We start from the raw sequence: 26925 nt of genomic DNA on the forward strand, positions 1-26925 counted from the left end.
GAGGGATGATGAGAGTTCTCAGCTCTTTGGAGAAGTTAATTTTGTTGTCAGCACATCCACATTTCAAAAATCACAAACTAGAGGCAGAACTTTTCAGTGCCAGTGAGATTTGGTGATCAGATACTGTTTTCATTTCTAATGTCTGCCTTCTGTATAGCGCCTATGCAAATAGGGGCTTTCAAGGATGCAAAAGTAGCAACTTCCCCTATTAGGAGCGTAACTAGCAGCTGCTGTGTTTCTCATAAAAGAGAAAACATCCTGTTTACTAACATACAACCATACGCCCTCACCCGCGTACACTCACACCAAGCTCTTTTTTTAAGGCAGAGCTTTTATTTTGGTTTGAGATAGGCAGCACAGAAATGCAGTCTTTTACAAACATTCCTTGAGCACATATCCCCTGGGTGCTAAGTAGGTGTCAGTCATTGTTCTAGATGTGGGGAATCCACTGATACTTGAAACACATTCTCTAATTTTACTGGGAACTCGTCGGAACTTCTGACATTCATTGGCAAGTTCTTTGCATCTGGTCTCACCTCCTTATTTTTAATATTTATAAACCATGTTCATCAGGATGTCAGTAGAGAAGAAATGAAAGTAGCTGAGAAACCTTGCCGAGAGAGACCAAATCTCAAAGTGAACTAAAAATGTCTTGACCACAAGGATAGAAAGTGAACTAAGATATGTTCTTGAGGCAGCAAAAATAAGTATTGTGCCAAAATCCAGGCTTTACCTCAGTGTCAGATAATCAATGGACTAGAGATTTCACTGTGTTGCCCACAGCCCTGTTAAGAAATCAAGACCATGTGCTTTGTCTATAATCCTGGAGTCAGCCCAGAAGATGAGCTCATAAATATGTTAGCTTAAGTAAAGTTTATGATAATATAGACGATGAATCATCTTCCTGTTTTGAAAAGCATATATTCTATAACTCAGGATTTCTGGAGTCCCTCCAGAAATCTACATGACTTTTGCCCCATTTTCTTTAGGTCTTGATTCAAATGTCGCCTTATAAGAGAGCCCTTTTTTGACAACACTCTCCCACCCCCAACTCTCCCTTTTCTGCTTTTCAAACTCTATTTTCCTTTATGTTACTTGTTATGGCCTGATATGTGTTTGCTATTTTCTGTCTTCCCTTATTAGACTGTAAGCACCATGAGGGCATAACTTGTTGTTTACCTCTCTGCCCCCTCAAATAGCATCTGACACACATAGGTGACACTACCCAGTTGTTGAGTGGGTAACATGAGGTTGTTTGGGATTGTTAGTTCATTATCCTAGGCCTACACAGGGTCAGCATCACCAATATCGCTGTCTTCCACCTTCACATCTTGTCTCACTGGAAGATCTTCAGAGACAACAACATGCATGGAGCTGTCATCTCCTATGATAGCAATGCCTTCTTGTGGAATACTGCCTGAAAGACCTGCCTGCAGCTGTTTTACAGATATATATATATATATCTGTACATATATATATATATAGGGAGAGAGAGAAAGAGAGAGAGAGAATGCCCTCTAAAATAATGATGAAAAATAAAGTAAATACATAAGCCTAGTAACATAGTTGTTTATTATCATTATCAAGTATTATATACTGTACATAATTGTATGTGTTATACTTTTATATGGCTGGACATGCAGTAGTTTACCTAAACCAGCATCACCACAAACACATGAGTAATGCGTTGTACTATGATGCTATGACAGTTACGACATCAGTTGGCTATAGGAATTTTTCAGCTCCGTTTATAATCCTATGAGACCATGGTCATATATGCGGCTCATCTCTGACTGAAATGTCACTGTGTGGCACATGATTGTTTAACTTTCATGAGAGATTCTGATAACCAGGGGAACATTGAGGTGATATAATTTAATCCAAAAAAGTAGATGTTTCAAATAAGATTTTGTATTGGGTAAATAAATGATTACTGTTTGGCTTTTTGGAATTTCATGCATAGCTCAAGAATCTCTGTTGCCAACTTCATGGTCTCCTTAGTGGTACAGAGATCTCAGCAAAGAAACTCAGAAGTGAGCACAACACACTTATTTAATGGGTAAGGAAACCTAAGACCAGGGCAAATCTAGTGACTTTCTCAAGTCCCACCTCTTGTAGTGAAACTTCATTCATGGGGTCTTATGAATCCTAGGCTAGTGTCATGTTTACTGGCTCACAAGGACTGCCACCATTGAATTGAGCACCAGGTTGAGTATTTCTCAAATGTGCTCTGGGGACCATCTGCTTCAGAATCTTCTGGAGGGTTCTGCTAGAAACATAGCCTCTCAGCCCTGTGGATTCAGAACCTCTGGGAATGGCTCTGCATTTAAACAGTTCCCCAAGTGTGTCTTACACATTCCTATGCCTGGAGAACCAGTGACCCAATATGTGCAAGGATTCTTGATTCTCCTCCATGGAAAAATAAAAAAATTAATCGTATCTCCAAACTATATGAGTACATATCTATCGAGAACCTGGACCAACAGTTTTTCTTGGGGAGGGACACTGGTCCATATTAAAATTAGGTTAGTTTTACCATCAAGTTGGATAATATGAGCTACTTTGAACTTTTGGGCTTAAATCTATCTAGTTCATTAATTTCTGCCACAAAATTTTTAAGTGCACATTGCCAGGAATTCAGAGATAACTGAGACAACCCCATTGCAGTTGGGGGAGACAGATATAGTTTCACAGGGCTACAGAAAAGCCCCGAAGGGCCTGTCTTGTCTCCATGTGAGACCTCAGAACCATGTAATGCAACCAACCTTAGTTGCATAGTAAGTAACCAACCAGGTGTGTATAGTAAGCTGCATTCCTAAATGTCTTTCTATAGTTCTGGACATCTCTCTAAGTCCACCAAATAGTCTCAGTCTTCACACAAAGAATAGTGAGGAGATCTGTTTATTCTCAGAGTTAGTGGACAAAAGCAAATATTCTATTAGATGTTATTAGTATTATTATTGTTATTATTTTCAGGACCTACATCCAGCCCCTTGTTGCCATAATCGCTATCCAATCACACTGCCCTTTTCCTTTGTTATAATAAATTTCTCCCACTCTTCATCATCTTTGAGGATGAATCATACGGTTCATCAGCATCTTACTTCCTGACATACAACCCTGAAATTGAACAATTCAAAAAATTTCCCAGAAATGACTTTGTGGGATTTTAATCTAATTCTCTGAATGGTGAAAACTCTTTAAGACATTTTTCAAAGGCCAGGTTTTTAAATATTTCATACCATGGAAACTGTCTTAGGAAAGAGTTGGGGACTTAAGGTCACAAAAAATGAGAAAAATTATACTTGAGAAAACCTTGTAAACTAGAACTTCTTGTAAGAATATTAATATGTTATTTTTATCCATCTTAAAATTTCCTCAGGCGTGTGCTGAATGAGCCTACTTCATGGTTGTAGTTTTGTTGTTCTTTCCACGTTATTTTGCAGTTCTCCCTGTGGCCATCATATTGATTTTAACACTGTGGTCATCATTATAGGAAAATGGAGGCATTAATAACTTGGTCTCTGTGGACAGATTGTAATAGAAAACCTTATAAATAATTGCCCACTAATGGGAAAATTGAAAATATGCACTGTATTATAATGGTCATAATGTAATCATTAAAATTATAATTATGTGACAATGAAAGAACTCATTATGCATTAGTTTATCTTTACATAATGCTAATAGCTAATGAAAGTGTGACAATTAGATCTAATTAAGTTTAACAACATTTCTGCACTTCTCGTAAACAGGCTATGTTTTGCCAGAAATTGTATATGCGGAGACATTAGTGATACCGAGGTCCATCTCATATAATATGAGTTTTGAAATGTAACCATCAGTCCTATGAAGAACCTTAACTTTATAATGCCTTTTTGTTAAATGAACTGGAAGTATGAGTCTTTACTAAGGGTAGCTTTATAAAAAAGTTTCTCAGATTGTGTCATGTTTTAGTTAAAAATAACAATTAGTCCTTCCTCTTCTACTAATCTGTGCTTATATATTTGTGTGTGTGTATGTGTATGTATGTACTTGACTCATCTGTGTTTTGTTTTTAACAATAGAATTGTTATACTGAATTCTCAAGTTAGAGGTTTGATTGATTGATGATAATGAATCAAGTAGATGTTGGTTTCTTGTCATAGATTATAGCATATAACAGTCCACCATGTCCTATCTGTATGATCTAGGTCAAGTGTAAACTCTCTGTGCTTCAGTTTTCTCATGTATAAAGTAGTGTCTATACTTTTGTTAGAATTAAACTAGAAATTTATAAATTTCTTAGCCTGGGCATAGCACATGGTGCTAGTATTTACTATTATTAGTAGGAATTATTTTATATCTATATCATAATATCAAGAAGAATTCCAGCTAGTATCACTTTTCCTCCACTGACATTTTATTGCATTGCACATTTAGATAATCATCCAGACTTTTATTTTTCCATCATTTAGAAAAATCATTACATACATCATATTGAAAACAGTATAGGGACCTTCAATATGTGCTCAACATATTCTTCAGAGTGGAGTTTTAAGACTCTTGAGCACTGGAAGACATTGGCCTTGTCACCAGGGTTTCCAACTGCTCAGGTTTCACTTACAGAATGATAGACTGTGAGCTCAACTATGAATGACTCTTGGCCGCTCTCATCAGTCTTGGATCATCAGGAAGCCTCAGAAAACAGAGACTGTTCAAGTAAATACAGGTAGAAATTGGCAAACTCAGTCACTTGCTACCATGCTTCCAAAAAGCCATGATACTGGTCTTTACTTTTCTACCATTCCTTTTATTGATATATGTTCAGTACAAATGAAACATTCTCTCCCCAAGAGGACTCATTCACTTCCATAAGTCAACCATCACTGCTACGTCTTGTCTCCATCTCTGCTATCACTTCTAAACATTGGTCTCTAAAACTAGGTTGGCCTTTAGGCATTTTCTGTGTGAAATTCAATCTGTTTAAATTTGACTTATCTTTCCTAACGAAAATGTAATTGAGTTACCAAGTCCACAGTCACTTACTTCAAAATATTCTTTGATTATATGCTTTGTTTCTATCTCGAGGCTCTCATTGTCTCAGGTCTAGACTATGAAAATAGTCTCCATCTATTCTCACTGCTTTCCATCTTTTGCCCTTCAATCTGCATTTTATACTTCCACCAGATTAATCTTCCTAAATCACTTTTACATTTCATTCACCTACCCACAAAACTCTGATGGTTCTTCATTGCCTTTAGTTTCTTTTATCTGGCATTCTTGTCCCTCAAAGAATTTTGTCCAGCAATTTTTCTAAGTTTGTTGCCAACTAGTCCCTACAGTTGTTCTCTGGCCCAACCACATGGGTCTGCTCGTTATCTCCAGATACACATTCTAAGCTTTGCATCTTTGCTGACCCTGTTTCTCAGCTGAAATGCTGTTCCTTTTCTACTCTTGTCAAATAAATCATTTAAGGCATAGCTCAAGAGTTGACTTTTTCCATGCAGCTCTCTCTAACAGCCCCATTTATCCCTCCCTCCTACGAATTCCTCAAGCATTTATTTTTCTCGCCCTGTATCTTGCACTTGTACAGGCTAGTTTGGCTGCTTCTTATCTTTTATGTACAGTTCCAGCTGGCCAATGGGATTGGCAATATTGGAAGCCCCTCAAGGCTGTTTTTTCATCTCTCTGTGCAGAGTTCTCAGTGTATATTAGGTCCTTAACAAATATTTTTTTATGAGAGTGTCAATTTCGTAAGCACTTGAAGATAGTACTAAAAAGCCTTCTTGCCACTTGGTTCTGCCTGGAGCTGATTTCATACTTACAAAGTAATGATTTCTGAGCCTTCTGCTTATAGAAATCGTGTAAAGCCTCTTGGTAGAATGAAGCATGATGCCCTCTACCCTGAACTCAAAGACCTTTTTGGGAAAGTATTATTTTAGCTGAGAGTTTAAGGGAGAGGACAGACAGATTCCTGTGATGCAGAGATCAGCATCACAGCCCTGGCAGCCCCCTCCTCTTGCTGAGAACAGCTGTTTCAAATGCCCATTTTAGAAGGGCCCTTAACTTTCCTTAGGGCTGCTAAGAGCAAGTTCTGGATCACCTGTAGCTGCTGCTGCTTAGATAACCCCAGAAACAAAAGCAGGTGAACACTGGGTATGCTTGCCTCAACTTTGCCACTAACTAGTTAAGCTTGGGAAGCCAGCTCACTTCCAACAGTCTCAAATGCTTTATCTCCTCTGCCCTAAAGTGGGTGAAGAGCTCCAGAATTAAAATTTGATAATTTTTACTTTATTTTTAAATCAAAGGTAGCTGAAAGTTGAATTTTGATTAAAAAAATAAAATTCAAGACAAATCCACCTGAATTTTGTAGCTCTTCATTTCATAGATGTAAATCTATCACAAATTATCATTCTGTCTTTCTTTCTGTCTCTCAGTTCCTCTCCCTTTCTGTCTCTCTCATACACATGCACACATATACACAAAATATTCCATAAAATCAGTTTTTACCAGAAATCTCTTTCATGCTGGTTCTCCTCTATGTAGAAAGAGCTACAAATGAAATGGAACATGGGAATAGAACAAGAAGCTGATTCTCTTTTAAATTGCCTTATTTGTTTTTTCTTTGGGAAGTCCGAATTTTTGAAGACTTAATACAACCCTGCCCCAATATAAACTGTCTCTCGCATTATTAACATCCCCCCCGCCCAGAGTGGTACATTTGTTACAACTGATGAACCTGCAGTGACACATCATTATCCCCCAGAGTCCACAGCTTACATTAGGCATCACTCTTGGCATTGTACATACATTCTATGGGTTTATACAAATGTATAAGGACATGTATCCACCATTATAATACAGAATAGTTTCACTGTCCTAAAAGTCTTCTCTGCTCTGTCTATTCATCCCTCTCTCTCCCCTAACCCCTAACAACCAATAATCTTTTTACTTTCTAATTGTTTTGCCTTTTCTAGAATGTCATATACTTGGAATCATACAGTATGAATCCTTTTCAGACTAGATTCTGTTACTTAGTAATATTACACTCCTTTAAATTTCTTACTTATTACACCCATTTAAAGTTCTTCCATGACATTTCATGGCTTGATAGCTCATTTGTTTTTAGTGCTGAATAATATTCCATTGTCCGAATTGTACCACAGTTTATTTATCCATTTATCTACTGAAGGACATCTTGGTTGTTTCCAAGTTTTGTCAATTATGGATAGAGTTGCTATAAATATCTGTGTGCAGGTTTTTGTGTGCATGTAAATTTTCAACTTGTTTGGGCAAAAAAAATGTTTTATGTTATACGCTGAAAAATGCTGGCTGAAATATGTAGCTAAGTTGCCTTTATTGCCTTTTTTTTTTTTTTTTTTTTTTTTTTTTTGAGACAGAATCTCACTCTGTTGCCCAGGCTGGAATGCAGTGGCACAAACATGGCTCGCTGAAGCCTTGACCTCCTGGGCTCAAGTGATCCTCCCTCCGTAGCCATCCAAATAGCTGGAAATACAGGCGTGTGCCACCATGCCTGGCTAATTTTTAAATTTTTTTTGTAAAGACAGAGTCACTCCATGTTGCCTAGGCTGGTTTTGAACTTCTGGGCTTAAGTGACCCTCCCACCTTGACATCCCAGAGTGCTGGGATTACAGGCGTAAGCCACCATGCCCAGCCTACTTTTGTATTCTCTTATAATGTTGAGTGACTTACCTTTTGGGAGTTATAGATATTAGATACAACTTGAAGTCTTTTTCCTTCATTTGTACCATCAAAAGATGTTTTCGGTGTTCAATGAAAATTGTTTCAAAAGGAATTTGGCAGTCCCCAGGCTTCTACAGGCGGTTTTGAGGATGAAATGTGGGGGCATCTCCATTCTCATTATGTTGATTTCTCCTTGTGACAAAAACCTTTTGCCACCCCGCCTGCTTCCCCTCTTGTGCTCTGTCTTTTCTCTCCTCTTTCTTTCTGCTACCTGCTCACTCTGTTTTCTCTGTATCTCTTTGTTCTTTCTCAGAGCTCTTGCCTCTGACACACTTTTTAGTGCCATCGTTTTTTGAGACAGCCTGATTTGATCACTGTCTTTTCTCTCTCCCTTTGAAAGCTTTCTCTGTTCTGTGTATTTCCTAGATTACTGGTGATACTTGTCATTCTGGTTAGATTTTGTTCCTGTTTTGATTTCATTTTTCCGTAAGATTTTTGTTTGGTTGATTTTTTTTAACCTTAAGAAAAAAAGAGATTTTTTTACTTGCATTCCACTTTTCTTTCTGTTCTGCTCTGTAACGTGAGTGTGCAATATGCTCTAAAGTCCAAAAGGATAGTTAACACAGTGGGTGGTGGGGCTATGCATAATTTCTGCCATCTTTCTTATAGCATTCTGTTTTCTGAAATTGTTTCATGGTGCATATGTACACATAATAAGAAAGAAAAAGCAATGAAACGATTTCTATTTTGACAAGGAAAAAAATCTTAATGAGAGCCTGGCTTTGGGTCTTGCCTCTAGCTCTCCATGAAACCTTTTTCTTATCTGTCTTCACCACCAAGCATAACCACAATGGCTGGCTGAGCTGGAGATGGACAGCAGTCTGTGGGGATTGTGTAAGTGATCCAATGGTTAGCTGGAACCTACCAAACTGCAAGTCATGGGTCACTTCTGTTGATTCCCCAAGGCTAGGCTCTTACTGTCAATTGTTACTAAATGGAAAAAAATGCAGAGAAATAGCACTGACTGCCTTATGAAATCTAGTACCCTTTGTTCAATATGACAATTAGTTTTGAAAGCTGCTGATGATAGCAGACAGGGGTGACATGTGATAATGCTTATTCATTATGGTAGCATCACACTGTGATTGCAGCGTTTACTTTTTATCTATTTATTCATTCATTTATTTATTTTAGCATTCTTATTGATTGCTCTTACTGATTACTGCATGCTCATTTAAGTTGCATGACAAATGCTGTTATTTGCTCACTCCTCACAGAAGGCTTCGAAAAGCAAACCATGGCAGGTCACCCAGAAACCAAGGTGGCAGGGCACTGAATAAAATGCAGCCCCCCAGATTTTCTTCCAAGTGGTGTAATCGTAAACATGGGTTAGCTCCTTTCTAAGGTGGCAGGAATCAAAGACAGAGGTAATAAACTTTGGCCAGAGAGGAGGCCTGTTTTTACATGCTTGTAAAGTTGTTTTTACATGCTTGTACAATGGAGTGTTTAAATTCACAGTCCATTGTGAACATAGGCATGGTATTTCATGACTATAAACTGTCATGTTTTAAGCACTTTGGTCTGTCAGGCTAACTAAATATAAGCCCCTGTCCTAAAGAATCAAGCTCACATAGTATGACAAATCAGCATTTTATTTATTTGTGCTAAAAGCATTTATTGAACAGCTGTGTACTAAAAATCCTGCAACAAGAAGTAACATTGAAATTTCCTTAAAGAGCTTCTTCTACTGAGGAATGTAGACATATTAACAAATAAATACAAAGTAGGATTATAAAAAAGTATTTTAGAAGAGGTAGCTATTTACAGGATAGAGTAAAGGGAGAGGTTAAAGTTAAAAAGTTAAATTAAACTATTTTTTATTGTCATATGAACAAAAGTATCTTCATGTTAAATTAAATACAATTAGCTGATATTTGTATGCATCTGCTTTTTATGAGCTGTCACTAGAAGATGACTTTTTACTGCCTTTTTTTTTCTCTGTTTTTTTTTTTTTTTTTTTTTTTTGAGACAGGGTTTCACTCTGTCACCCAGGCTGGAATGCAGTGGCAAGATCTTGGCTCACTGCAACCTCTGCCTCCCAGATTCAAGCAATTCTCCTGCCTCAGCCTCTTGAGTAGCTGGGACTACAGGCATGCATCACGAGGCCCAGTTAATTTTTGTATTTTTAGCAGAGACGGGGTTTCACCATGTTGGCCAGGCTGATCTCAAACTCTTGACCTCAGGTGATCCACCCACCTTGGCCTCCCAAAGTGCTGGGATTATATGCCTGAGCCACCGTGCCTGGCCACCATTTTATATTTTGATAATTCATATTTAGTACTCTCAGTCACTTAGTTACTCAACATCTGAGTTTCTTTATCTATAAAATTGACTTAAACGTCTATGTATTCAATATTCAAAAAGTATATTGGTTAGGAATATTTTAAAATATACAACAAAGAGGTGACTATGGAATCTAAAATCAATTTGAGAATACATATAAAGTTAAAGGTATTATAATTCTTATTAGCTTATATGTGGGGAAAACAAATGATTAAATATATGCATGTTATGAAAGAAAAATTTATGAAGTAAATATGTAGAAGCTGCAAATGGTGAGAATAATCCAGTGTCTCCTTTTTGAGAAATAAGGAATATTCTTTTTCATTTGCTAGAGCAAAGGTTAAAGAAAGTTTTAAAGACTTGATATTCCTGTATTTGGATAGATCATAGATAATCATTGTCCTGAATGCTGAGTAAACAATTGAATACATCTAAAAATGTGACATGCATTATGCTGAGACCCTGGTAGTACTCTCTCTGAATAATGTTATTTGGGCAGAGCTAAAATGACTTAACTGTAATTCCCCTAAAATTAATGTTTCTTTTTTCTTTCTGAAAAAGTAGTTTTCATAGGATTTAGACAATATTTCAGCATAACTTCAAAATAATAATAAATTTGATGTGTTCATGGTTGCATTGGTAATTAGTTTCAGCTGATAAATATCTGTGGCTCATAGAGAATAGCAACCAACAACAGACCTATCCCCTTATGCTTCAATCTTTTCTTTTTTTATTTTTTTTTTTAATGTTTTATTTCCATAGGTTATTGGGGAACAGGTGGTATTTGGTGACATGAGCAAGTTCTTTGGTGGTGATCTGTGAGCTTTTGGTGCACCCATCACCCAAACAGTACACACTGCACCCAATTTGTAGTCTTTTATCCCTCACTCCCTTCCCACCCTTTCCCCCAGAGTTGCTTCACCCTTTTCTAAAACTCTTTAATATGGAGTAAAAGCCAAAATCACTTTTTTTCATTTTTAAAACACCTTTGAATAAAATTTGTAATCCAATCTCTTTTGTATTAAAGCATTCGAATGCAAAAAGTGTAAATTTTGTCTGTGTGTGTCAGTTTGCAATTTCCTAAACTCACTTAAGCTCAAATTGCTAATAATTAAATGAGACTGAGTTCGAAGATAGATTAAAGGACAGCTGATTGAGGATGGCAGTAATTCCTAAAGGACCCAAAAGTTCATCAGAATATCACATTTAGGAAACTGCTGGTCATTAAGGTGTTAGGTTGTGAATTTGAGCCTCAATGGATGCTGCTTTCTTTTAGAATGAATTACCAGGTGGTTATTGAGGTATACTGAGTCAGGATTTTTTAATTTAATGAGTGCTGTGTAACACTTAAGAAATCAAGGCCAACATTTTTATTTTTTACCTGTTTGTGGTGCATCAGCCATTATTTAATACATTAAACATTGGAAATAAGATCTTAACCAAAAATACAGATTTTAACCAAAAACATAAATGTTGGGGCTTTTTAAAGCATTTAATGAATCCTTAGTTTTGTACCAGGTACCGTGCCAATTATTTTTCTTACATTATATCATTTAATTCTTACAATAATTTTTCCTTCATGAGGAAAAATATCCTCCCTCCCCTTACAAGGAATTGAGACATAGTGATGCTGTCTTGAATGCTGGGTAAATAACTGAATAAAGTCACATTAAGTAGAGTCCAAACTTAGCTTCATTTAGGATAATATTCAACACATTTGGGGAATTTTTTTAAGTTGTTCCCATTTTGAAAACTGACATAACTATAATGTCATCATCATTTTTAGGAAATGAACCTTGGCATATCCTAGGAATTTTGTTTTCAATCTCCAATCCAGGTGGCATTCTGGAAAGTGGACTGTTACTCTGACCAGACATTCAGCCTGGGTGAGCTTTGCTGTACACTCAGCTGACCTACTTGTTTAAGGGTTTTTAAAACTCCTGTGTTGACAATAGTAAGCGTGACTCCCCTCTGTGTACCTGTGATCAACTGAATGTACAATATTACAAAATAAGGGCTTCTTCTTGGTTTCTTTATGTTTTTTCCTTAAGTCTTCACATCCTTAAAGGAAATGTATTTTATAAAATTAAGTCTGAACGAGAAAGCAAAGCCCCATCTAACAGAAGAGATCGTGTCCTTGGAAGATGATTTCTTCATCTCAGCTTTCTCAGGTCTCTCGAGATATTTATTCATAGCCCTCCTATGGAAACACAGGGTTCTCAATGTGAGCAGCTCTGTTAGGTTTCATGTCATTGCCTCTCAGCAGCCCTGTTCAGTAAGATTTTCAGTGTCTGATTGTTCTTATAATCAAATGTGCTTTTCCGATTTCCAAGGTAAATTTGCTTTCTAATAAATGTAACATTCGTTGGTGCCCAATGAAGTCTTTTTTTTTTAACTTGTCAAATTACTTAGTACAGAAAAATAGCTATAATTCTTTTCTTTCTTTTTTTTTTCTCTTTTTTTTTTTTTTGAGACGGAGTCTCGCTCTGTCATCAGGCTGGAGTGCAGTGACATGATCTCGGCTCACTGCAACCTCTGCCTCCCGAGTTCAAGCTATTCTCCTGCCTCAGCCTCCTGAGTAGCTGGGACTACAGGCACGCACCACTACGCCCAGCTAATTTTTTTATTTTTAGTAGAGTGGGTTTCACCATGTTGGCCAGGACGGTCTCGATCTCTTGACCTCATGATCCACCCGCCTCAGCCTCCCAAAGTTCTGAGATTATAGGCGTGAACCACCGTGCCTGGCCAAAATAGCTATAATTCTACATTAATAATAATATTAATCATTTTGTTTCATTTGGAACTTTTTTCAATTTTGCATTTTCTCAATTTCTTAAGGTCGATTCTAAGAATTTACTTGGTAAATCACAGGTTCTCAATAAGTATTTTGAAAATTAACGTCAAAATAAAAAGAACTGAACACTCCAGGTATAGAGAAGGGTTCATTTAAACTTATTTTCTCTAAGATGATCGATCTTCTACATTTTTTAAATGAAATGAGATGCTATAAAACAACATATTCTGACTTTTTTTTTTTTTCAGTGAGACAGAGTCTCGCTGTGTCACCCAGGCTGGAGTGCAGTGGCGCGATCTCGGCTCACTGCAAGCTCCACCTCCCGGGTTCGCGCCATTCTCCTGCCTCAGCCTCCTGAGTAGCTGGGACTACAGGCGCCCGCCACCGTGCCCGGCTAATTTTTTGTATTTTTAGTAGAGACGGGGTTTCACCGTGGTCTCGATCTCCTGACCTTGTGATCCACCCGCCTCGGCCTCCCAAAGTGCTGGGATTACAGGCGTGAGCCACCCCGCCTGGCCCATATTCTGACTTTTTAATAGATTACTTAATTATATTTAATTCCTAGAAACCTCTTCAACATCCTTGTATGAGATTCACATCTGTAGGTTCTGCCTTTCTTATATAAGGTAGGATAAAATCTTTTTATTCTTTCTCTTCCATTCTTCTCTTTTTATATCTTTTGGCACCTTGTGCTCTAATATAAGAACACTTTAAGCTTCTCTTCTTGCCTTTATGCTCCTGAATACGTTTTCTTCTACCTATAATTCCAGTTCCCATCTCACCTCCTCAGTACCTCTCCTCTGAGCCAAATCTGGTGTTTCCTTGATGCTCAGAAATGGCACCTCCTCCACAAACCCTCCCTGCTATGCCCATGTCTAGGCAGAATATTTCCTTCTTTCCTCAGGGCTGTTACCTTTCTGGAGTACTGGACAGGATAGTTATTAAAACAAATGGTTTTTTAGTCAAATGGTTATTTGACCTCCTGACCAGCTAGAATGTGAGCTTTCTGAAGAGCAAGGGGCAGTTTTATTCTTTTTGTGTCTGCAACACTATGCTCAATAAATATTAATTTGGAAGTGAGAAAAGTGATGTTATGATGAGTTAAAGTTTTCATGGTTCACTTTTTCTTCTTTGAAATAAGGACTCAATTGTTCATTGCTGCATACCTTTCTTGAAGCCTGAAGTAGATGTTGAGATGCTGTCTTTGAAAATGTCTGAAGATTTTTCCATGATAATGTGGAGACTCTCTACCTAAACTGTTGTCCAGGATAAGTGATCTCCAAGGGAGGGCATGAAATGGCACATATCACTGGTTTCCCTGTGACAGCTGCAGGAGGAACACCCTGGAGTAATGGTGCAGTGGAGAGTCTTTGCCAAAGAGTTACTGTCAAAACTGAACTAAGCTGTTCCAAGAGGCTCTTAACTCTCCCTAATACGTATGGCTTAAAATAAAACGTGGTGTATACAAATGAAAAAAGGAAGTTTGTTTAAAAAGGTCCGGGGCTTTGAAAAGCTATGCTTTATGTTTTCAATTTAGGAGTGTATAAGGCCTTTGGTTATTGCTGCAGGTTGAAGAATGTGCTTTAACAAAAGTATACCAGCTCAGAAACCATTTCTGTCCTCTCATCTACCCACTTTCCTTTCCATTCAGGTGCCACTCAACCCATTTTGGCAACCAACTAAAGATACAATAGCATACACCCTGTTAGGAAAATCTGTAGAAAATGTAGCTACAGTTTTTTTTATCTGGGTTCATGCAGTTAGTAAACACTAGTTAAGCACAGACTAAATGTAAGGTACAGTGCTGGGCAGTGAGGACTGAAGGGCAAATGAGATAAGGAGCTTGTCACACACCAGACTGAACAAGTAGCAAATACAAGAGTCTACAGTAGAAAAGATGGCAGAATTAGTTCTGACTGATCAGAAGCAGCTTCCACTTACCATCAGTGTCACTTTGTACACATTAACCTCTATGTGCCTCACTTTTCTCTTTCATAAGTAGAGATGATAATACTACCTCATAGGATTGTAGTAAAGATTAAATTAGTTTATATGTTGTTATAAACGTGTTTACGTATGTTACATGTAGTAAAGATTAAATTATTTTCTATGTTCAAACAGACCCTGACATCTAGCATGTGCACAAGAGAATATAATTATATTTCGTTTTACAAAAGATATTGTGGACTTTTTACAAGGCAAATGGCAAAGAGCTTCCTAGGCAGAGGCCAATAACCTGAGTAAAGAGACGAAGCATGGAAGTATGAAGTGTGCTGAAGGAGTTCAGTGTTGCTAAAAATTTCTTTAATGGAAAAGAGTGGAGAGATGTCCTGGAAATAGACTTAGGTGCCAGATCAGAAAGGGCATATGTGTCAGATCAAGAATTTGTGACCCTAATGTTTACATTTTCGAAAAGTAAGCCTTGTGGCAAAAAATGGAGTTTTGTGAAAGAATGTAGCCATGGAGCTCAGTGACTAACTGCTTATTATAACAGCCCAAGTTGGAGATGATGGGGCCAGAATGGGGACATGCTGTCCATGTCGATGACAACATGAACTAGGATTTGAAAGCAGAGATTATGCCAAGGGCAAAATATCCACTGCAGGTGTATCCTTTCCCTTTTCTAGAAAATAGAACTGTATTTTGTAGAATCTTTTTGTTCTTCATCAAACTCTGTTTTTAGACTTTTACCTTCAAACCACCCAAGAACATTAGAGCCTCATAAACTATAAATGATTAATTTTATGACTCACTATTTAAAGCAAATGGAAATTTTAAACTTGTTTTTATCATGAGAGTCCCTGTCTGGCAATAATTGGGCAAAGAAGGCAAGATAAAAAACGGATTTTTCTTCAGGATCTGCTAAGTAGAAACAACAACATAGAGGCTGGGCGCAGTGACTCATGCCTGTAATCCCAGCATTTTGGGAGGCCAAGGTGTGTGGATCACCTGAGGTCAGGAGTTCGAGACCAGCCTGGCCAACATGGCAAAACCCAGTCTCTACTAAAAATACAAAAATTAGCTGGGCATGGTGGGGTGTGCCTGTAGTCCCAACCACTTGGGAGGCTGAAGCAGGAGAATCACTTGAACTTGGGAGGTGGTGGTTGTGGTGAGCTGAGATCATGCCACTGCACTCCAGCCTGGGCGACAGAGTGAGACTATGTCTCCAAAAAAAAAAAAAAAAAAAATAAGAGAAAGCAACATAGATGCTGAACTTTAAGGAAATGTGATATAATATGGACTTGCTCAACATAAACTATTGAAAAATGTGTGTAGTTATAATTATTATTGTAATGATCATAAATATCATTTACTGGGCCCTTACTATATGTCAAGCATATATTATATTACTTATGTAACGTGTAGTTTATTACCTACATTATCTCATTTTGTCATCTCAATAATCCTATGAGGCAGGTATAATTATTGTCTTCATTTTACAATAAGGCAAGTGAAGCTCAGAAAGATTATGAGACTTGCTTAAGCTAGCAGAGGAAGGAACTATAGGAAAAAAATGTGGTCAAGGCAGAACTCCAACCCAGATCTGATTTTTTTTCATTTTTAATTTTTATGGAGAGATAGTAGATGTACATATTTATGGGGTACATGAGATGTTTTGATTCAGGCATGCAATGTAACGTAATTACAGCATGATGAATAGGGTATCCATCCCCTCAAGCATTTATTCCTTGTGTTACAAACAATCCAATTACACTCTTTTAGTTATTTTAATATGTATAATTAAATTATTGACTATAGTCACCCTTTATTCTATCAAATAGTAGGTCTTATTCATTATTTCTAATTTTTTGTACCCATTAACCATTCCCACCTCCCCCCACCCTTCCACCAGATCTGATTTTAGAGTCCACACACTTACCTGTCCTGCACTGAGAGCACCCAAAAACATTAGCAGCAAATCTGGTTCTTTCTCTGGCCCAGCTCCCTGAGGACACATATTAAAAGGATAAGCTTCTTTGATGTCAGCCACAATCTTCAAAGTCTTTTAATTTCTCTAAACAATGAGTAGAAGGTCTCTCATGCAGGAATTTATCAGAGGCTTTGTGAGCTTATTTATGTTCATCCACTGTAATAAATACTAGTGTGCAGGTGCATGGGGCAAGTAGTGCAACTGAGTGAGAAAAGAACTCAGAAACATATGAGAGGCTGAGACCTTGAATTGTGTGTCCTGAGTCAGGTAAATTTATCTCAGTTGCAGTTTCCCCTTCCATAAAATGAGTTTATGTCCATTTCCCTTTATAATTCAATGATTAGTCAACTCTAAATTTTGCCACCTGAAGTGTATCTACAGAAATACTCCATTCCAGATTGATTCAGTCCTCTACCCAAATTGTCTCCCCCATCAGTTGATGTGTATGTAAGGACTACACACTAATTTTCACATTTCCACAAGCAAAACACAAAGGTAAACCTGATGCCTCCCAAGTAATGCTGTATCTGCTATCACCAAACATAAATGATTTTCTGATTTTCCACTCTTTTGGAATATCTGCATCACTGTTGGCTTTCATTAGCATGACAGTTCAGAGGTGATTGTACTAAATTTTACTTTGTACACATCCTAGTGGCAATGTATTTGTGCTGTGATATAATTCATTTCATGATTTAGTGAGTCATGATGGAAAAAAGTATTAGGTACTTCTTTTTCTCAATCAACCAAGAACACATCCTACTTTTTCCATCTGTTCCCGGCAACAGATGTGTTATTTGACAAGAACCCACTGATTTGTACCCTGCCTGGCATATTAGACTCATACCACTGAACAACAAGGTACCTGGCTTAGTGGGCACCTTGGCATAGTCCCTTTTAGGACCCCTCCTTTGGTTTTCATAAACAGAATGTTACTGCCAATCATAATATGTATTTTGTAATGGAATTTAAGATTCAGAGATTTGAGTAGAAACAACTTAGCTATTCCTCCTCCATCAGACTCCTGCTGGATACAGCCCTCATTTTCTCACACGTAGGACTGATAAGGAAGATCAAAATGGTCTCCTACTGTGTTTAAAATCTTTACTTTTCACTCTTTAAATTACTGGCTTTCTGTAACTTCCTTCTGTGTTTTCTGACATCTACAGTTTCACAATTATTATTCTTCAAGATTTGTCTTCCTTGAAGTCTCCATTTTTGAAGTCTGGGAGGAGCACCAAACTTGGTTTTATTCCATCACATTTAGTGATAGACTTCTTCTTCTGTTTTTTTTGTTGTTGTTGTTTTGTTTTGTTTTTTAAAGACAGGGTCTCACTCTGTCCAAGCTGTAGTGCAGTTGTGGTGGATCATAGTTCACAGCAGCCTCAATCTCTTTAGCTTAAGCCACCCTTCTACCTAAGCCTCCCAAGTAGCTGGGACTATAGGCATGAGCCACTGTGTTATCTATGGATAAACTTTTCAATGAGAAGATCCAAGTATCTTGGCCAAACCAAAGCCAAAGGCAGACCTCTAATGAATTCAAACAGTTCTAGGGACAGCTTAAGATAAACAGTGTGATCCTACTCGGCCTTAAGAGTGAGGACGCTATCGGTTCATTCAGCCCAGAGCTAGGAGGAGTCTGCTTCCTGTCTGCAAGATGCTATTGCAGGGTCCAAGGCAGGATTTCTCAGAATTGTTGACTGGAGCAGGGAACTTGTGGCCCTTTGTAATTCCTAAGCATCTTCCTCCTTTTCTACCTTGCCCTCATCAAGAATCCTAAACCAAAAAGTATTTGGCTAAAGTGTGAAGGAGACTGTGATTCTGCTTTCTTGAAATTTTTCAAGTTCTTAAAGCACACAATATGAAGCTCTATAAAAATTATTTATGATTTCAAAAGAAAATAATTTTAAAATTAAGATATTATGATAGAAAGTAGCCTTCTAGTCTTGCCTTAGGCATGACAAAGAACTCAAGTTCCCACCTGAGAGAGATGGTGAGAATTGTACTTCACATAAATACTGTTTACTTTCACTCTCTAGGAAACTCTATAATGGGTGCCATTTGGCATTCTAATAACTGTTAGTGCAGAAAATAGTGTTTCCAATTATGTGTTCTCAACACACATTTTCATTAGAGTAGTTGGAAGCAAGGTTTCAGGTAACTGGAATTGACCTCTTACTTCTCACAGAATTAGAAGTCAAGAAGTTGGCACCTTTCTACAGATCAAGTTTTAATTTATGACAGACTTGGTCAACTACCTGGCTTTACTGTGCCTACACTCTGAGTTTCTCCTCTCCCAGTGAGAAAACTGATAGCCGCTGGCATGGCAGGCGGTCTTCCACATTTATCTTTCTAAAAGTGCACCAAACTATAGAGCCTCAGAGTTAGATTAAGGGATACTAGAAAATCCTTTCTCAATTTTCTGAGGCTGGAGTAAAGACATTTTTTTCTGTACTCTACATGTGTTCTCAAATTCTCCCAGATGGCTCCTATAACACTGGTCTAGACATTCACTTAACAATTTTCACTCAGTACCAATTCTGGACCTGACACTGTGCTAGCCACAGAGTACAGTAAACAACAGGCAAGTTCATGAAACACTGTAATGAAACTGGAGAACTCATTTTGGTTTTTTCCTTAAGAAGCAAATTAAAACGTGAAAAAGAATAAATGAGAAACTAACTGGCCAACTTGTAAGTAGAGATTAGTTTTTCTGATGCTTCCTTAACATCCTAAGTACCTAGGGATGTCCTTTACATGTCAGACACCATTGAGTACCTAGAACAGTGTCTGGACTCTGGTAGGGAGCCACTGAGGTAAGCCCTTCTCCACTTTCCATAGTTGCTTCTTCTCTGGAGAAGGAAACAGAGGAACAGCTTCTAACAGTGAGAAGAGTAACATTAAGGAACCCTCTCTGCTCTCTTGTAGCCAGATTGCAACTGTATGTCCTCTCCTTGTTAGACTGAGCCAGGACTCCCTTGCAAGGGCCCCAGGCTTACTCTGTACCCTCCCAGCCATCCCTGGCTTGGAAGATTTTGGTCATCAATCTACATTTCATATGCAATAACTTTCTCATTTGTCCATTTCCTTAATCAAAGGCATATAAAAATGCCAAGCACAGCTGCTGATTTGTCTGAAATAACCAGTACTGACTAGAAAGTTCTAGTCTAAAGCAAGGGAACATTATGTTTGTGGTTAGTATGTGCAACCTCATAACTGGTAAATCAAGAATTTCCATTAACATTTGTCAGTAGTTTTATGACTTTGTGACAACTTCAGAGACTACTGAGAACCACTTACGATGCAACTTGGGAGTGTCTCTACTAAGAAGACTTCCCTGATTCCCATGCTGGGCCAAGTGTATCCAAACACTCTGTATATAACAATCTTAGTGTTCTTGGAAGTGTAGTCCCAGATCAGCAGTAGCAGCATCTAGCATCTCCTGGGTACATGATAGATATGCAAATCCTCAGGTCTCACCCCAAATCTGCTAAATCAGAAACTGGGATGCAGACCTACAATCTTTATTTAAATATGCCCTCACAGTGATTCTGATGCACACTCAAGTTTGAGAACCCCTGCATCCTATTAACAAATACATCATGTTAAAACTATTATGTGTATGTGTTGAATTAGAAGTTGTTTGAGAGCAGGGACCATGTATTCACAGTATAAATACACTGTGTATGGGTGTGCATTACACAAACAGAACGAAACAATATGTACTATTGTGACATGCTTTTATTTTCTTCCAGCAATATTTTGTGAAAATTCTTTATTTTGCATGCATATATTTTGTGATATGGTATCTGATGGCTGCGTAGTATCTTACTGTGCCAGTTACATCAAAATTTCTTTGATCTTCTAGTATAGGACACCATAAAGCTCTTTTTAAAACTAGCTTTTATTTTTTATGAAAATAATGCATGCATGTACTTAAAAATCTGTTTTAAGTAGCAGCCCACTCCACCCCTCGTCATGTCTTATTCTTACTTTTAGCAGCAATCACTTCTTGGTCCTTTAGCTGATACTATTTATGCCCATGGTTCTAAATGATATACATATACTTCTGTGCCGTTTCAATTTTAGACATTATCTATGAAATTCCTGTGATGCAGTTGGGAATTTATCTCTCTCATGTCTCTCAACACCTTCTTTTTCAGTCTTCCCAATATAGCTTTATCAAATTTTTGGTTAAAGCAAAAGTTCAGTGTTTATAACTGTATAAATATTATTCCTTGTACAGCCAACAATATGCTATGGTTACATTTATTTTGTTGAAAATATTTTTTTCAGATGATATTGTTCTTTTTTCTAAATAAGCTTCTTTTTTAAACAACAGTTTTAAGTTCACAGCAAAACTGAAAGGAAAGTACAGCATTATCCCATATACCCTTATCCCCACATGCATAGCCTCCCCCATTATCAACATCCATTACTAGAGTGGTATATTTGCTACAATTGATGAACCTATGTTGATGCATCCTTATCACCCAGCATGCAAAGTGTATGTGAGCATGTACTCTTGGTGGTGTACTTCTTAAGGATCTGGACAAATGTGTGGTCACATGTATCAATATTATAGCATCATAAAGAGTAGTTTCATTGTCCTAAAAAGTCTCTGTTCTGCCTATTCAGCCCTCCCTCCTACTAACCTCTGGCGACCACGGATCTTGTTACTATCTCCTTAGCTTTGCCTTTTCCAGAATGTCATACAGTTAGTTGGAGTCTGATATGGTTTGACTGTGTCCCCACCCAAATCTCATCTTGAATTCCCACATGTTGTGGGAGGGACCCAGTGGGAGGTGATTGAATCATGGAAGCAGGTCTTTCCCATGCTGTTCTCATGATAGTAAATAAGTCTCATGAGATCTGATGGTTTTAAAAATGGGAGTTTCCCTGCCCAAGCTTTTTCTTTGCCTGCTGCCATCCCTGTAAGCCTTGATTTGCTCCTCCTTGCCTTCCACCATGATTGTGAGGCCTCCCTAGCCACGTGGAACTATAAGTCCATTAAACCCTTTTTCCTGTATAAATTACCCAGTCTTGGGTATGTCTTTATCAGCAATGTGAAAATGAACTAATACAGTAAATTGGTACCAGTAGAGTGGGGCACTGCTGAAAAGATACCTAAAAACGTGGAAGCAACTTTGGAACTGGGTAACAGGAAGAGGTTGGAACAGTTTGGAGGGCTCAGAAGAAGACAGGAAAATGTCAGAAAATTTGGAACTTCCTAGAGACTTGTTGAATGGCTTTGACTAAAATGCTGATAAGTATATGGACAATTAAATCCAGGCTGAAGTGGTCTCAAATGGAGATGAGGAACTTGTTGGGAACTGGACTGAAACAAAGGTAACTCTTGTTACATTTTAGCAAAGAGACTGGTGGCATTTTGCCCCTGTCCTAGAAATTTGTGGAACTTTGAACTTGAGGGAGATGATTTAGGGCATCTGGCAGAAGAAATTTCTAAGCAGCAAAGCATTCAAGAGGTGACTTGGGTGCTGTTAAAAACATTCCATTTTTAAAAGGGAAACAGCACAACAGTTTGGAAAATTTGCAGCCTGACAATGCTGAAAATTGTCAGAAAATCCCATTTTCTGAGGAGAAATTGAAGCCCTGCAGAAATTTGCATAAGTAACAAGGAGCTGAATGTTAATACCCAAGACAATGGGAAAATGTCTCCAGGGCTTGTCAGAGGTCTTCACAGCAGCCCCACCCATCACAGGCCCAGTACCCTAGGAGGAGGAGATGGTTTCGTGGGCCAGGCCCAGGACACCGCCCCCTCCCCGTGTAGCCTAGGGACATGGTACCCTGTGTTCCAGCTGCTCCAGCATGGCTAAAAGGGATCAATGTACAGCTTGGGCAGTTGCTTCAGAGAGTGGAAGCCGCAAGCCTTGGCAGCTTCCATGTGGTGTTGAGCCTGCGGGTGCACGGAACTCAAGAATTGAGGTTTGGGAACCTCCGCCTAGATTTCAGAGGATGTATGGAAACACCTGGATGCCCAGGCAAAAGTTTGCTGCAGGGGTGGAGAACCTGTGCTAGTGTAGTGTGAAAGGACAATGTGGGGTCAGAGCCCCCACAGAGAGTCCTTACTGGGGCATCACCTAGTGGAGCTGTGAGAAGAGCACCACCATCCTCCAGACCCCAGAATGGTAGATCCACCTACAGCTTGCACCATGTGCCTTGAAAAACCACAGACACTCAACGCCAGCCAGTGCAAGCAGAGAGGAGGGGGGCTATACCCCGCAAAGTCACAGGGTGGAGCTACCCAAGACCATGGGAACCCACCTCTTGCATCAGCGTGACCTGGTAGATGTGAGACATGGAGTCAAAGGAGATCATTTTGGAGCTTTAAGATTTCACTGCCCTGCTGGGGACTTCCATGGGGCCTTTAGCACCTTGGTTTTGGCCAATTTCTCCTTTTGAATGGCTGTATTTACCCATTGCCTGTACCCCCTCTGTATCTAGGAAGTAACTAACTTGCTTTTGATTTTACAGGCTCATAGGCAGAAGGGACTTGTCTTGTCTCACATGAGACGTTGGTCTATGGACTTTTGAGTTAATGCTGAAATGAGTTAAGACTTTGAGGGACTGTTGGGAAGGCATGATTAGTTTTGAAATGTGAGGACATGAGATTTGGGAGGGGCCAGAGGTGAAATGATGTGGTTTGGCTCTGTGTCCCTACCCAAATCTCAACTTGAATTACCACATGTTGTGGGAGGGACCTGGTGGGAGGTAATTGAATCATGGGTGCAGGTCTTTCCCTGTGGGAGCATGGTTTCCCATGCTGTTCTGGTGATAGTAAATAAGTCTCACAAGACCCAATGTTTTTAAAAAGGGGAGTTGCCCTGCAGAAGCTCTCTTTTTGCCTGCCACCATTCATGTAAGACTTGCTTCTCCTTGCCTTGCACCATGGTTATGAGGCCTCACCAGCCATGTGGAACTCTAAGTTCATTAAAAGCTTTTTCCTATATAAATTACCCAGTCTTGGGTATGTCTTTTTTTGTTTTATGGAGTCTCACTCTGTTGCTCAGGTTGGAGTGCAGTGGTGCAATCTCAGCACCAAAACCTCCACCTCCTGGGTTCAAGGGATTCTCCTGCCTCAGCTTCCCGTGTAGCTTGTGGCACCATGCTTGGCTAATTTTTGTATTTTTAGTAGAGACAGGGTTTCACTATGTTGGCCAGGCTGGTCTCAAACTCCTGACCTTGTGATCTGCCTTCCTCAGCCACCCAAAATGCTGGGATTATAGGCGTGAGCCACCACACCTGGCAGGTATGTCTTTATCTGCATTGTGAAAATGGACTAATGCAAACACACATAGTATGTTAAGTTTTTTCAGTTGGCTTATTTCACTTAGTAATATGCATTTATGGTTTATCCATGTCTTTTTATGCCTTGATTTATTGCTCATTTCTTTTTATCACTGAGCAGTATTCTATTTTCTGAATATGACAGTTTATTTATCCATCCACATACTGAAGGGCATCTTGTTTGCTTCCATGTTTTGGCAATTATGAATGCAGCTGCTACAAACATTCATGTGCAAAATTTTGTGTGGACATAGTTTTCAACTCATTTGGGTAAATACTAAAGAATACAATTGTGGAAGCATGGGTAGCTTTGTAAGAAACCATCAAACTGTCTTTCAACATAGCTGTATAAGTTTGCATCCCTACCAGCAATGAATGAGAGTTCCTCATGCTCCACATCCTCACCAGCATTTGATGTTGTCAGTCTTCTGGATTTAAGCAATTTTGTTAGGTATGCCATGATATTTCATTGTTACTTTAATTTGCAATCCCCTAATGCCATATGATATAGAACATCTTTTCATATGCTTATTTGTTATCTGTGTATCTTAATTGGGTTGTTAACTTTTTATCATTGAGTTTTAATAGTTCTTTATATATTTTGTGTAACGGTCTTTTGTCAGATTGCCTTATTTATTCATTTATTTTAATCAATTTATTTGTTTTGATTTCAATAGGTTTTGGGGGAACAGGTGGTATTTGGTCACATATATAAGTTCTTCAGTGGTGATATCTAAGATTTTGGTGCACCCATCACCCAAACAGTGTACACTGAACACAATGTGTAGTCTTTTATCTCTCACCTCCAATTATTGATTGATGGGCATTTGGGCAGGTTCCATATTTTTGCAATTGTGAATTGTGATGTTATAAACATGCATATGCAAGTATCTTTTTCGTATAATGACTTCTTTTCCTCTGGGTACATATCCAGCAGTGGGATTGCTGGATCAAATGGTAGTTCTACTTTTAGTTCTTTAAGGGATCTTCATACTGTTTTCTAGTGGTTGTACTAATTTACATTCCCACCAGCAGTGTAGAAGTGTTCCCTTTTCACCATATCCATGCCAACATCTACTATTTTTTGATTTTTTTATTATGGCCATTTTTGCAGGAGTAAGGTGGCATCACAAAACCACAATGTGGTTTTGATTTGTATTTCTCTGATCATTAGTGATTTTTTAAAATATGTTTGATGTCCATTTGCATATCTTCTTTTGAGAATTGTCTATTCTTGTCCTTAGCCCACTTTTTGATGAGATTGCTTTTTTCTTGCTGACTTGAGTTCCTCGTAGATTCTGGATATTATTCCTTTGTCAGATGTATAGATTGTGAAGATTTTCTCCCACTCTACAGGTTGTCTGTTTACTGATTGTTACTTTTTCTGTGCCTTTTAGTTCAATTAAGTTGCATCTATTTATCTTTGTTTTGTTGCATTTACTTTGGGTTCTTGGTCATGAAGTCTGCCTAAGCCAATGTCTAGAAGGGTTATTCCAATGTTATCTTCTAGAATTTTTATGGTTTCAGGTCTTAGATATAAATGCTTGAGCCATCTTGAGTCGATTTTTGTAAAGTAAGAGATGAGGATCCAGTTTCATTCTTCTACATGTGGTTTGCCAATTATCCCAGCACCATTTGTTGAATAGGGGGTCCTTTTCCCACTTCATTTTTGTTTGCTTTGTCAAAGATCAGTTGGATGTAAGTATTTGGCTTTATTTCTGGGTTCTACATTCTGTCCATTGGTCTATATGCCTATCTTTATACCAGTAACATGCTGTTTTGGTGACTATGGCCTTATAGTATAGTTTGAAGTCAGGTAATGTGATGTCTTCAGATTTGTTCTTTTTGCTTAGTCTTGCTTTGGCTATGAAAGGCTCCTTTTGGGTTCCACATGAATTTTAGGATTGTTTTTTCTAGTTCTGTGAAGAACGATGGTTGTATTTTTTGGGAATTGCATTGAATTTGCAGATTGCTTTTAGCGGTATGGTCATTTTCACAATATTGATTCTACCCATCTGTATTAGTCCATTCTCATGCTGCTAAGAAAGACATACCTGAGACTGGGTAATTTAGAAAGGAAAGAGGTTTAATGGATTCACAGTTTCACATGGCTGGCAAGGCCTCTCAATCATGGTGGTAGGTGAAGGAAGAGCAAAGGCATGTCTTACATGGCAGCAGATAAAAGAGTGTGTGCAAGGGAACTGCCCTTATAAAACCATCATTTCTCATGAGACTTACTCACTAACACAAGAACAGCATGGGAGAAACCTGCCCCTGTGATTCAGTTACCTCCCACTGGGTGTCTCCCAGGACACATGGGGATTATGGGCACTATAATTCAAGATAAGTTTTGGGTGGGGGCACATCCAAATCATATCACCATCCATCAGCATGGAATGTGTTTCCATTTGTTTGTGTCACCTATAATTTTTTTCAGCAATGTTTTGTAGTTTTCTTTGCACAGTTCTTTCACCTCCTTGGTTAGGTATATTCCTAAGTTTATTTATTTATTTGAAGCTATTGTAAAAAGGGTTGAGTTCTTGATTTGATTCTCAGCTTAGTCACTGTTTGTGTATAGCAGACCTACTGATTTGTGTACATTAATTTTGCATCCTGAAGCTTTGCTGAATTCATTTACCAGTTGCAGGAGCTTTTTGGATAAGTCTTTAGCATTTTCTAGGTATACAATTATATCATCAGCAAACAGTGACAGTTTGACTTCCTCTTTGCCAATTTGGATGCCCTTTAATTCTTTCTCTTATCTGATTGCCCTGGCTATGACTTCCAGTACTATGTTGAATAGAAGTGGTAAGACTGGACATCCTTGTCTTGTTACACTTTTCAAGGGAAATGCTTTCAACTT

The 26925-nt window shown here is 38.4% G+C and overlaps 1 protein-coding gene across 15 annotated transcripts in view, besides 1 other annotated feature; it reads left to right on the forward strand.

The window, feature by feature from the left end:
- ST6GALNAC3 (ST6 N-acetylgalactosaminide alpha-2,6-sialyltransferase 3) overlaps positions 1-26925 on the forward strand; it is a 562594-nt gene that overhangs the window by 350352 nt on the left and 185317 nt on the right. The gene's annotated exons all lie outside the window — the stretch shown is intronic.
- Positions 512-751: an enhancer, noted in NCBI's record as "active region_1210". NCBI's record gives its function as "activates an Ori minimal core promoter by ATAC-STARR-seq in GM12878 lymphoblastoid cells {active_cell/tissue: GM12878}" and the evidence as "EXISTENCE:reporter gene assay evidence [ECO:0000049][PMID:35858748]".

Source organism: Homo sapiens, chromosome 1, assembly GCF_000001405.40.
Source record: "Homo sapiens chromosome 1, GRCh38.p14 Primary Assembly".
Lineage (NCBI taxonomy): Eukaryota > Metazoa > Chordata > Mammalia > Primates > Hominidae > Homo > Homo sapiens.